Raw genomic sequence first — 13,456 nt, 5'->3', positions numbered from 1 at the left:
TCTGTGTGTGTGTGTGTGTGTGTGTACATGCACATGTGTACTTTGAGATATTTCTTGCATTTGATATTCAGGCCACTAATCCAGGCTTCAACAATGGCCATATGGTTCTTTAATTACTCTTCTAAGTTAGTTCTAAAATCATCGAGTATTAGTACCAGACACACTTGGCCATCCTTCAGTGCACATATTGTGTTTTAGTTCTAACTTCCATCTTCTCCAGGAGCCTGTATCGCCTGTATCACCAGGTCCCCATTGTGTTAAGCATCTTCCTTCTTGTAATTGGTTCTCTTTAAATGTGTTGATATTTAACTTTATCAGATTATTAGTGGCTTCCATCCTTCAGGTGAAGGAAGGTAAAGACTGGAGATATAGCATTGGATGGTTTACTAGTTCCCCACTGGGGCAACCAAAGGAGGCCTCTCCCCTCATATACCCAGCCTTGGGTTTAGGGAGGTGGCCTTGGCTCCTGCACCACCTTTTGAAGAACAGGCAACTCTGGAACACTCATATAGGGCTAAGAATTATTCTGCAGGCCTCTGGACTCCCCAGAACCTGAGTCTGCTGGTAATTGAGTGTCCCTCAGCCCCAGCACTGCTTGGCTTGGGAGAGTCTATTAGACCGTAGCTGGGAATGGAAAGAGTGGGAGAGACTGGGGAGTAACTTTCTTTAAGAATACCCCTTCCTTTTCCGACTTTAACATAACAAAATGATCATTCAGGGAGAACTGTGTTGCATCAGGAAGAGAGATGTATGTTCTAGGCCTGACTGCCACTAGCAAGCCATGTGGTCATCAGCATGTCACTCAGTTTCTTGTACCTCTGTGTCCTCGTTTGTAAGATGAAGAGATTGGCTGATTATTGATCTAAGTGGTCTTCCAGCTACGGCCTTCTCAGTTTGTAGGAAATCTCAGTATCCTGAAGGTTCTCATTATGATGTGGAGTAAAATTCAGTGGTTTTTCCATCTGTGTTCTGTGGAGCCCCGCGGATTCTGTATGGGAGGAAAGGAAGGGATTGGAGAGGTTTCGCTTACCTTTTTATTTGCACTAAGAGTTCAACTGCTAAAACAAGCTTGAAAGCCAGCACTAGAGTCTACATAAGCCTCAGAATTAAGTTTCTCTAACATGACTTTGGGTTTCTGTTTGGTGTTTTTGCTTATTTCCTTCACATTGTGTTTGGGCATTTCATCCTGTCTCCCAGTTGTTTTGGGTCAACAGAAGTAAGCAGTATTTATGACCCACCAGTCTTTTGGAATTGAAAGGTACCAGAAGATGCCACCTCAAAATAGACCCCTTTGGCATATGGATTATTTTGACCTATGGGGAATTGAGAACCGGCAGTGCAGGAAGAGTTTTTTTTTAACCTTTCTCTAATTGCGTAAAAATGATGGCTCCGTACCAGGAAGAGAGCGACTCCTGGAGACAGCTGTCATCACCTGAAAGGCTCTTACCTGTATAACAGGACAAACCTTACTTACCATACTTCTCCTCACCTTCTTATAACTTGCCTTCCCCACCTGGAAGCCCCAAACTCATTTTCCTTTGCTTAGCCAAAGATAGTATATAAACCTTAATCATCCGGCAACCTCCTTGAGTCTTGTTTCTTTGCTGGATTCCCTTGTATGCATGTAATTAAAACTTTGTGTGTACATAATTAAAATGTTGTTGGTTCTCTCTTGATAGTTTTTCATCAGTTTGATTCCTGGGCCCAGCCATTGAACCTAGGAGGGTAGAGAAACAGGTTTATTTCCTCCCCTACAGGATTGAAGGGTCTCCTACATTAAGCATCCTCTTCAAAGTCACAAAGGGGCTGAGCTGGATCTCTATTTTGGGGGTACAGCTTCCTGCATACGACTCTACTGTACATCATGAGGTTTTTACAGACTTCATTTACAAATTGGTCTAAAGTAGGTCAGCGTTCCTGAGACACTGATAGTCTTTGAGATAATTTATCTAAGTCTGAAATGTTGGCTAATGTTCTTTACTAGAAAGGGCAAGATTTTATATTGGTGATGTTTAAAAGCCAAGGGGCTTTTGTTATTTCTTATTAAAAAAATGATGAGTGAGGTCGGGCACAGTGGCTCATGCCTATAATCCCAGAACTTTGGGAGGCCGAGGGAGGTGGATCACCTCAAGTTAGGAGTTCAAGACCAGCCTGGCCAACATGGTGAAACCCTATCTCTACTAAAAATACAAAAATTAGTCGATCATGGTGGCAGGTGCCTGTAGTGCCAGCTACATGGGAAGCTGAGGCAGGAGAATCACTTGAACCCAGGAGGCAGAGGTTGCAGTGAGCCGAGATCACATCACTGCACCCCAGTCTGGGCGACAGATCGAGACTCCATCTCAAAAGTTAAAATTAAAAAAAATGAGTGAATGTAACTCAGAAAGCATTAGGAGGCCTTACTGCAGATCTCTGCACAGAGTAGGGTTTAATACCTTTGGAAATGATTACATTTTGAATGTCTTAACAAAAATTATCATATGGGGAGATAACACACTGAAGACGATTTAATAGAAATTCTACCTCAAGCCTAAGTATGGAAACTCTACCCAAGCCCAAGATCGTTACAGTGAGCACTATAATTAAAAATTGTGGGATTCCTTGGTGTAAGTAATCAGCACATACTAAAAGTAAAAATAAGCTTTATTTAATGACAGTCTGCCAGTATCTGTAGATTTTGGAATTTCTATTTTCATTCATGTGTGAGAGTTCTGGTTGTCTTTAAGTCCCACAAAAATAACACAGTGGAAATCAATTTAAGTCACAGAGCCAGAAATACAGATAAGTTAGATGGTCTCTTGAATGTTTCATCGGTGCCAAATATATTCTGTTAACTAAAAAAATAAATGAATTTGCCAAAAAATACTGGCCCACTGACCATGGGGCCTTACGGAACACACGAAGTGTTTGTTTGTGTGAAAGGGAAAAATACAAACAACTTACGTGAACGTGAGATGACCACGAGTTTAGGTTCGGGAAATCTGGGCCATGCACACATCACCAAACCTTCAATGGAGTAAGAGTAGAATGGACTCCTTGGAGGAGTGCCAAAGCTGAAAAGGAGGTATTATTGGTGTCAATTCTGTCTGTGGAAGAACCATAAAGCCCCTTGACGTGGATTCTCCCTCACATCCTGTACCTGAGCCTCTCACCATCCAAGCTCCTACCTCTACACAGTAAATTTAAAATTTACAAAGGCACTAAAATCTGCAAATCAGCACATTTTTTTCTTTCCTGTCCTTCTCTGTCTCTCTGGTTGCCTCTGTCTCTTTCTCTCACCCTCCCTCTCCCCTCCTGCCTCTTTTTTTTTTTTTTTAATTTTTGGAGATGGGGTCTAGCTGTGTTGCCCAGGCTGGTGTGCAGTGGCACAATCATGGCTCACTGCATCCTTAGACTCCCAGGCTCAAGCACAACCTCATCCTCCTGAGTAGCAGGGACTACAGGCGTGCACCATCATGCCTGGCTTTTTTTTTTTTTTTTAACTTTTTGTAGAGACAGGGTCTCCTGATATTGCCCAGGCTGGTCTCGAACTCCTGGGGTCAAGTGATTCTTCCACCTTGGCCTCCCAAAGCACTGGGATTACAAGGATAAGCTCGGCCTCTGCCTCTTTTTTAAATAAGGAGTTAATAACTGTCTGATGCACTCAACATACCATACCAGAATACCTGGTTTGTGGTGAGGCTTCCTCCAGGCTTTTGGAGTACAGAGAAATTTAATCACTTTCAATGAGCTCCACTTTGAGCAACTTTTATTTCTACGCTTGTTTAAACTAAAAGGAAGCCTCCATGCATGGCACAGGTGCAATGGTGCAACTTCCACTCTGTTGTCCAACACCCAGGGATTATGGAGCAATGGCTATGCCAGCCAGCTCCAGGCTAGAGCACAGCTGGATGTGCCAGATACTCCTGCTGCTGTCAGCTGTGACCTCAGCACTGGCAGCTTCTTTCTCCTAACACCCTAAAGCTTCAGGGTCTTGATCTTCAGTTTCTCCCTTTCCCTTTCCCTTTCCTTTTCCTTTTCCCTTTCCATTTCCTTTCCTTTCTCTCTTTTCTCTCTCTTTTTTTTTTGTTTTTTTATTTATTTATTTTTTGATGGAGTCTCACTCTGTCGCCCAGGCTGGAGTTCAGTGGCGTGATCTCAGCTCACTGTAACCTCCACCTCCCAGGTTCCAGTGATTCTCCTGCCTCAGCCTCCAGGGTAGCTGGGATTACAGGCACCCACCACCATGCCCAGCTGATTTTTGTATTTTTAGTAGAGACTGGGTTTCCCCATGTTGACCAGGCTGGTTTCAAACTCCTGACCTCAGGTGTTGTGCCCGCCTCAGTCCCCCAAAGTGCTGGGATTACAGGTGTGAGGCTACGCACCCGGCCAGCTTCTCTCTTTTCTAAGGCTGAATTGCAGGAATCACCTCTCTGCCTCCACATTTCTACCATTCTCTCTTCCCAAGTCACCAAACCCATTCCATATCATTATCCACAGTCCATTCTTACCAGAGCAAGATAAGACCTTGCCACTGTGGGGCCATTAAGACCAAAGCCTTATTCTCTGTTTAGCTCCTGAAGGCATTTGAGTTTGTGAACCAACAGCAAAAAATCTAAAAAATCAATACAAGAAGACCATTTTCCTTTTATGATAAGGAGACAGACGGGAGTCTATTAAAACATACAAAGGATGATAAATAGGATAATGGTGCAATCTGATGACCTGAGATAATGCAATGACTGTGGACCTACTGTTATTCAGTCTGCCTGAGATTAAAACTTACTCTAAAAATTATATGCTTTTGAAACTCCCATAGATAAAACTTTTATTTATTTGTTTGTTGAGATGGATTCTTGTTCTGTCGCCCAGGCTGGAGTGCTCTGGTGCAACCTTGGTTCACTGTAACCTCTGCCTCCCAGGTTCAAGCAATTCTCCTGCCTCAGCCTCCTGAGTAGCTGGGAATAAAAGTGCGCACCACCATGCCCAGCTAATTTTTCTATTTTTAGTAGAAACAGAGTTTCACCAGGTTGGCCAGGCTGGACTGGTCTCAGACTCTTGGCCTCAAGTGATCCACCTGCCTCAGCCTCCCAAAGTTCTGGGATTAGAGGCATGAACCACCATGCCTGGCTGAAAAACTTTTATTTTTGATTTTGTTTTTTATTTCACTTATTTTTAGGCAGAACATTAGTTGAATTCATTAAAATACATTTAAACAACATGAATTCAGGTAAATCACTGATTAGTAACCATAATTTCCCTCTTAACAGCTAATTCTTAAAGAATGCTTACTATTAACTTCTTTAATCTCACAAAAACCTTTTGAAGTAAATATAAATATTATCTGCATTTTGCAGAGGAAGAAACTGGAGATTAGTGAGATTAAGAAACAGCTTTTAAATTGGAAAACCAGCTGGAATCCAGGTCTCTTTGGGCCAAAACACAACTGCTTAATCTTCTTTGCTGCCTCTTCATGTGTAGATAACAGATTCAAAAAGCAGAAAAGGGTAGATTTGCATTGTAGCATTGGAATTCTTATTGCAATAATTGTTCAATTGCACAATACCCCCCAAAAAGTGCAATCTGTGTTCATGCTACTACTCTATTGATATAAACTCTTTTGAAAGAATTTCATAAATCTGAATACCAGTTGTTGAAATGCTTGACTTTTTAACATTTGAACGAATAGATTAATTTTAATGAGTTTATTTTTACCTGTCTAAATTGGTAAACATTTAGGTTTTCTGACTTTCTTTGTCTCTGAATATTTTTTCCAGGGTCAACGTCTTTTTGAAAAGTTGCTCCAGCTGACTTCGCAAAATATTGAAATCAAGCTAGTGAGTGATGTAACAGCTGATTCAAAGGTATTAGAAGCCTTGAAATTAAAGGGTAAGACCAAGGTTGATATGCTATTCTACCGCTGGGTGTTCTGTTAAGATACCTTTAATTTCACTTAAAATAATATATAATTTCTTTATGGTTAGTACATTTCACTTAGTACATAGTACATTTACATCTTTGAAAAATAACTCGATTAAAGTTTTTGAGTGGAGGAACTAATTAATATATTGGGATTTAAAAAAACAGTTGCATATTAGTGTAAGCAAAATAATCTACTGGTCAATAAATGATGATTAACTGGAAAGAAGAATCTTACCCTTTCTGAACACTTCAACGGTGTGATTACAGAGAAGAACCACTTCGCGTCAGAATAGACACTGGATCTCTACTTTTCACTTGCCTGCCAAATGAAAATCCTTTTCACGCTATATATTTAAAAAATAATATAGTCAGGTCCTGGAGTCTATGAAACATTGCCTGATTCATGAGTTTAAAGACAATTCCACAGGAGAACACCATTTATATAGCCACTTTGCAGTTTTTCTCACAATCTCATGAAGACTGAAGATAATTCCAAAATAACTTTTTTTTATTTTGCTATAATGTCAACCGAATTGAGCTCTCACATCCAAATAGTTTTTACTGTTTTGTAAAAATTGTTCCCTGGAATTTATTATCCAAACTGTAAGCCTCTAAAAGGAAAAGGCGTGTTTGAGCCAGTGAAAATGTTCAAGCTGCCGGACGTCCCTAGAAGAGGACAGGGCACTGACCTCAGTGAGTCATTCATGTTCCACCTGATGGCGTTACAGCTCATGTTTGTGCTGTTTAAACATACTGTGCCTTTTTTGCTTGTCGTCTTCCCCACATTTTTAAGTGGCAATTCCTTCTAAGAATGGAACAGAACAGGAATCAAATAAGTGAGCCCCAGCGGCCCTTCCTCCTGAAGAAGAAAAATTGGAAGTGATAAAGCATATTGAAAGTCATTACCACATAGAAGACGTAAGCTTGGCCATGCACATGTACCTACCACCATGCACATGTTTTCTATGCACAGGAAAATAAAACATGAGATAATCGTATGTTTGAAAAGCTGTGCTGTGCTACTTGGGTGCAGCAGAATGTCTTTGAAAAACTTGTAAGTGCCCAGTTCAGTGGATTGACAGATACAATCAACGTGGCTTAGAAATGTATTCTTACTTTTCCTATTTTTTAAAAATGTAAAATTGGGTTCTCACTATCTGATAATTTGTTAGAGAACACTTTTTTTTTTTCTGAGGAATTGATTACTTTTGGTTAACCGAGGGTCCTGTATTTGCAGATGATTTTCCTTATGGAGTTTCCTAGCATCTCTTTGGGTTTGATTATCCTGGCAGGATAAAAAGCTGATGTGTTAGGAAGAGAAGGAGGGAGCCCGAGACATCCACAGCTCTCTTTCTTGCCATAGCCCATGCTAAAGCTTGTAAACTCAACCAAAAGTTAAAGCTTGGGGATATTAGGAAGCCTAACAGATTTTCTTTGGAGTTGCTGAATATTTGCTACTGTAAACAGCAAATAGTGATTGACAAATGCACGAATAAAGGCCTGGTTTACATTTCTATTGTGAACTATATGTTAAAATTTCATTATAGTAATTGCATCTCACAGAAAAAGAAGTGTTTGAATTTCCAAGCATATGTAGATACTACTACAACTTAGATTCTGTTGAAATATAATAAGACTTCTTATCAAAACACGAAAACAAATGATTTTCCTTCATAGGAGTAAAGCAATGAACAGGACCCTAATTTCTCATAGCTATTTTCTAGGTAGTGATGGTAGGCCTCTCTGGCTCTTAGGGATGCACATGATGTGTATACTGTATGTAGAACATGTATAAGTCTTTAGAATACAGTTATTGTATTTCTCTACTCTCATCCTTTGGTAGACATATATTAAATGATCACAGTGCATTTTAGAAATAATTTTTATGAGACTATTTTAAATCTGTGATTGAATATCTTGCTTAAGGGTTATCTTTTTGCAGGGGAGGGATTCTAGTCTTTTAGCAAAATTCTAGAAAGTTTTTTCCAGAAATATCCCACGAAAAAAATAGGTAAATATAAAATAAGCCATGAGCAATTTCAGCTGCAAGAGTTACTGAATATAGAAACTAATCAAATATATTGTGAAAAAGAATAAAAGTAGGGCTTCCCAGTAAATGACAAAGATTTAGTGCAGGTGTAAGGAGGCCCAGAAAAAGGCCAGGCAGGCTGGAGAAGTGAGACAGCTGGCCAAGGCCCTTCTGACGGGTGGTGTGCAGGTCATTCCTGTTCCTTTTGCTCCCCATGCTTTGCCTCTCTCCTTGACTCAGAAGTCAGAAAGATAAACCATCTCTCCAAGGTCTCAAACTGTGGCTTGGAGGTGAGGTGCTTTTGAAACCTAGCCCTCATGAAGTCCTTGCACCCAGGGAGGGATTTAATTTTACACAAGGGTCCCTGTAAATTCAAAATGGGTTTTATTAATCAGTTTTCTTAATTTCACTTCCTAACCATCTCCACCTGTATCCCTCATATAAACATCTCAAATGCAACATGTTGACTCAGCTCACATGCTTTCTTTCCCTCCCTGCACCAACACAGCATCTGTCCCTATACCTGAATTTCCATGTGCTCAGTCACTCATGTTAGAAACTCAACTCCACGCTCTCGTACGCCACATCTAATGAGCCATGGTCTATAGACTCTATCCCCCCGTCTTTCTTCTAGATACCACATTTCCTCCTCACATACCTGCCTTATTTCAGGTCTCTTAATACTTTGCTTAAGCCTTTGTCACCTTTCCTCTTTCACCATCTGATCTTCCACACAGCTACCAAAGAGATCTTCCACCACATGGTTATTATCACCTTACGTGTTCCCCCAAATTGCATGCAGGTGTGAGGATGCCTGAGGAATATCATGCATGCAATAAAAGGCACAAGTATTAAATATATAGCTCAATGAATTTCACAAAGTAAACACATCCACATAAAACCGTCACGGGTCAAGATGTAGAACGTTGCAGACATCTCAGAAAGCCTTCTCAGTCCCTCTTGCAGTCAGTGCCCTCCGCAGAGGGAACCACTATTTCGACCTCTACCATAGATTACCTTTATCTTTCTTTGAGCTTTATATAAATAGAATCACAGAATTCTATATCTGGATTCTTTGGCTGAGTTTTATGTTTATAAGACCAATACATGTTGGATACAGCAGTGGTTTATTTTACATTGTTGTATAGTATTCCATTTTATGAATATAATACAGTGGATCTGTTCTACTGATAGATGTTTGGGTTTTTCCTAGTTTGGGTTATTACATATAATGCTGCTATGAGCATTCTTGTACATGTCTTTCAGATGCCTACACATATACATTTCTGTTCAGTATGAACTTAGGATTGGGATTGCTGACATAATAGGCTATATATGTGTTCGATTTCGATAGATACGGCCAGTCAGTTTTCTAAGTGGTTGTACTAATTCACACTCTCACAAACACTATGTTAATGTTCTGTTTGCTCCACATCCTTGCAAAATTTGGCACCTTGTTTTATTTTAGCCATTCCGGTGGATACGTATCATGTTGTATCTTTAATATTCATTTCTCTGATGGCAAATTATATTGAGCATCTTCTCATATGCTTATTGACCATTTCCATATTCTCTTGGAGAAGGTGCCTCTGCAAGTATTTTGCCCAGTGTTATTGTTGTTTTAATTGGCCCATTCCTATTGATTATTAGGCTAGATTTGAATCCTTTGTTGGATATATGTATTTCATATATCTTCATCCATTTGAGGCTTATCTTTTCACTCTTCCAAGGATGTGTTTACATAAATGGAAATTCTTAGTTTTAATGAAATCTGATTTATTAATTACTCCCTTATTGTTGATGCTTACTGCATCCTGTATACAAACTATTTATCATCACAAGGTCATGGAGATTTTCTTGTTTGTTGTGTTCTAGATACTATATTATTTTGCTGTTCAGATTTAAGTCTGTGTTAAGTTTGGACTTTATTTCTGCTTATGGTATGAAGTAGCAGTAAAGGTTCATTTTTATACTTACGGAGGGTCGTTCGTTTAAAAAAGTTTCTTCACTGCATGTTCGAGGCATCATTGTTAAAAATTAGGTGACTGTATTTTAGTTCTGTCTTTGAATTCTTTACCGTATTTTCTCAGTCTACTTGTTTATCCCAGGACCAATGCCATACTGTTTACCTTGCCTTTATAATATGTGTTACAGATGGTGGAACTTTCATCTTTGTTTTTCACTTTTAGAACTGCCTTAGTTATTCTTGGACCTTCAGGTTTTGAAACAAATTTTAGAACCGTCTTATCATAAAACTACTGAAATTGTATTAGAATTACACTGACTCTGTAGATAAACTTGGTGAAAATTGACATGGACAATATTGAATCTTTTACTTCATGCCTATAGCAAAGCTACAATATTTCCTCTTACTACTGCTTTAGCTGCATCTATTTTTAATATGACATAAATTTCTAAATTAGTTTTCTGTCCAGAAAGTTTTCTGATTTCTACTGCAGTCTACTCTGTACTGTGGCCTATTTAGAAATGTAATCCTTAATTTTCAAACGTTTGGAGATTGTTCTATTTATCCTTTGTTATTTTCATTATGTATGTTCATAGAATATACTTGGTATGATTTCAGTCATTTGGTATTTTTAGAAAGTTACTTTACAAAAATTTATTTAAATAAATTTGTTTTATAAATATCAAGGCTTTCCATTGCTTTCATACAGCTTTTCATTTTTGTTTTTGCATTTTGTCAACCCTTATAAGTCTAAAAGCTGAAAGTGGAGTGTAAGTGAAATAGCTTCTCATTGTCTGATACATGATCTTAATCGGTAGACTTCACAAACAAGCTAAATGAGATGTGAGATTGTCATTGAAATCCTCTGCTTTCTTCAAATCCGTATTCCTGAGGGATGTGCCACTTGCTGCCACCACTTGGCTTACAGGGAGTAATCGTGACAATTCTTTTTTTTTTTTTTTGAGACGGAGTCTCACTCTGTCACCCAGGCTGGAGTGCAATGGTGCCATCTCGGCTCACTGCAAGCTCTGCCTCCCGGATTCAAGTGATTCTTCTGCCTCAGCCTCCCAAGTAGCTGGGATTATAGGTGCATGACACCAGCCCTGGCTAATTTTTGTATTTTTAGTAGAGATGGAGTTTCACCATATTGACCAGGCTGGTCTCGAACTCCTGACCTCATGATCTGCCCACTTTGGCTTCCCAAAGTGTTGGGAGTACAGGCGTGAGCCACCCCACCTGGCCAACAATTCTCTTAAGTCCCGTTTTCTCTGCTCATGCCTCCCAGCAAATGCCTTTGATATCCTACTTCTCACCAAATCTAGTAATAGCCCAGTCATATTATTGAATTTTTATATTACTAACACAATTTTTATCTCTGGTTGTATATTCTAGTCCTAAGCAAAATATCCCTCAAGGATACCACTGTACTTTTAATTCTTGTATGTTATAGTTACTGTTGCAATTAAATTGAAAATTAAGAATTATTTGTCCACCAAAACCATAACAATTCATTGTACTTTCTATAATATGACTACAATATTTAATGCCTCTGTAGCCTAGCAACAATTAAAAATAAAATAAAGTCAGAAAATATCAATTTCCTTTTGAAAAAAAAAAGCAGGCTTTTATTTGTTCATGGTTGGATGATAAAATGATGAGTGAAATAAGTGTCATAGAAGATTTAGAATCAGTGACCTAGAAGTTAAGTTCACATTTTCTTTAAAAAATAAAATAAAATAATAATAAGGCATTTGAAACCATTTAGGATCTGAAATATCTCGTTTCAGTCTCATTCTTATTATTTACTATAATTGAGTTTTGAAGTATCTGAAAGCTAATTGTGATTTCCCAAATACAACCTACTTTTTCAGGGCTGTGTTTCTCAAAATATTGTTTTCCCTGTGCCTGAAATACCCTTATGTGTTTCCCTTGTCAATTTACAAGCTCTTTTTCATCCTTTTTAAAATTAATTTATTTTTTTTGAGAGAGAGAGAGAGAGAGGGGTGATGTCTTGCTCCATCACCCAGGCTGTAGTACACTGGCACTATAATAGCTCACTGCAGCTTTGAACTCCTGGGATCAAGTGGTGCTCCCACCTCAGCCTCCCCAGTAGCTGGGACTAGAGGCATGTGCCACCATGCCTGACCAAGTCCATTTTTAAGCCTTACACATAGTATTTTCCCTTTCACCTTCATCTCTTTACCCTGGTTGATCTTACCATCTACTTTTTCTCCATTGTTCATTAATATTTAATCCAACAATTGCTTCTTGACTATCTGTCATGTGCCAACAACTTGGGCTTTAAAGAGAGGAAGATGACTAAGACATGAGCCTTCCCCTAACTTCAAAGAGTTCAGAGTTTGGTAGAGAAAACCAAGCAATAAGTGAAATCAAGTGATCAAGAAATTCCTAAAACATCTACACAGAGTCCAATGTTTCTGAATCACTTTTTGCAACAGTGGTTGATGCCCATGCTTTCCACCCAGCATTGTCTCTGTACCACCAAGAGTGTCAACGGTGCTATGTAGCTTTAAGAAACAGAATGCATTACTGTTGTCTCTAATCAGAAGCTTGTTTTTGAAGCTTACCAGAATATGTCAAAGCAAGATATTCAGACAATAACCAGATCTTGTATTCTTTCCTCAAAGGGTCCTTAAATGGTTTGTTGACTGAATATTGGGAAACTTTAAGAGCTCTGTCATGCCACCAGGAATAATGCAGTGACAACTTTGTCACAACTTGTCACTTGGTCTGTAGCAATCGTAAGATGCATTGCAATGTCAGAGATGTTAAAATGTGAAGACTAAATGTTTCAGAATCAATGACTTAGAGTAATAAGTGTTATTTTAAAATATTTAGTAATAAACTAGAAAATTCAACTTAGAAACTTTAAACTTTAATAAGTTAATTAAGTTAAAATGACCATTCCTCATACCACACTGAGAGAGGTAGATTCTAAACTAAACCTCTTGCAACAGGGCTTCTTTATAGTGCAGTGACCATACTCAGTGGATGGAAATTCGGAGAATTCAGGCTGTGCTGGTTTTTAAGAAATGTGGGGGTCTTTACAGACCCCCTTGATGGCTAGAGCATTCAGTGATAGGAAGTGTGCCTATCCAAAAATATAAGCAAAAACTGCTCTATTACCTGAAACAGGAAGGAAGTTATTCAAATCGGTTTTTATATGCAATTTCTATAGGAAAACAATACAATGAAACCAGAAACCTGAAATACACTGGAGAAGAGACAGTCTCCTGGGATAGACAAGAAAGATATCAGAAATCATATTCCTAGCTATGCAGCGTGATGAATCGCAACCCAAGTGAAAAAAGAGGGGCTAATCATGAGAGCTTGGTTCTAAAAAGAAGAGGGATAGCAAACACGCAGTGGTAAACGTGACAGGCATGAAAAGGCCCAGGCGTTTGTTCCCACTGACATTATCTGCTAAGAGAGAGTGACCGTACAAACAACCAGTTTCACTTATGGGCTAAACTCTGTCACTAGGTGCTGTTTGGTCTTTAAAAAAAAAATAAATCTTTTAAATTGATTTTATCTGAAAA

General features: G+C 38.8%; 1 protein-coding gene and 1 long non-coding RNA gene across 11 annotated transcripts in view, besides 1 other annotated feature; one reads left to right on the top strand and one right to left on the bottom strand.

Annotated features, from left to right (window-relative positions):
* PLD5 (phospholipase D family member 5) overlaps positions 1-13,456 on the top strand; it is a 447,561-nt gene that overhangs the window by 259,342 nt on the left and 174,763 nt on the right. For 9 of the 10 annotated variants that reach the window (XM_011544115.3, XM_011544116.3, NM_001320272.2 and 6 more), the window contains one exon: positions 5,757-5,868. In XM_011544115.3, coding sequence (XP_011542417.1) covers positions 5,757-5,868 — 112 coding nt within the window. Of the gene's footprint in view, positions 1-5,756; positions 5,869-13,456 lie in introns of those variants that run through there. The other variant, XM_011544120.3, reaches the window with a different exon arrangement.
* Positions 469-970: an enhancer, noted in NCBI's record as "NANOG hESC enhancer chr1:242433537-242434038 (GRCh37/hg19 assembly coordinates)". NCBI's record gives its function as "activates a minimal SCP1, AML or CMV promoter by ChIP-STARR-seq in naive and primed H9 embryonic stem cells {active_cell/tissue: H9 hESC(naive and primed)}" and the evidence as "EXISTENCE:reporter gene assay evidence [ECO:0000049][PMID:30033119]".
* LOC105373235 (uncharacterized) lies at positions 1,635-4,579 on the bottom strand. Its single transcript, XR_949330.4, has 3 exons — positions 4,491-4,579; positions 2,944-3,053; positions 1,635-1,717 (listed from the first exon to the last, which is right to left on the bottom strand). It is a non-coding gene; the product is annotated as an uncharacterized LOC105373235 (long non-coding RNA).

Source organism: Homo sapiens, chromosome 1, assembly GCF_000001405.40.
Source record: "Homo sapiens chromosome 1, GRCh38.p14 Primary Assembly".
Classification (NCBI taxonomy): domain Eukaryota; kingdom Metazoa; phylum Chordata; class Mammalia; order Primates; family Hominidae; genus Homo; species Homo sapiens.
Note: the sequence above shows the minus strand (reverse complement) of the source record. Positions and strands in the feature narration are given on the sequence as shown.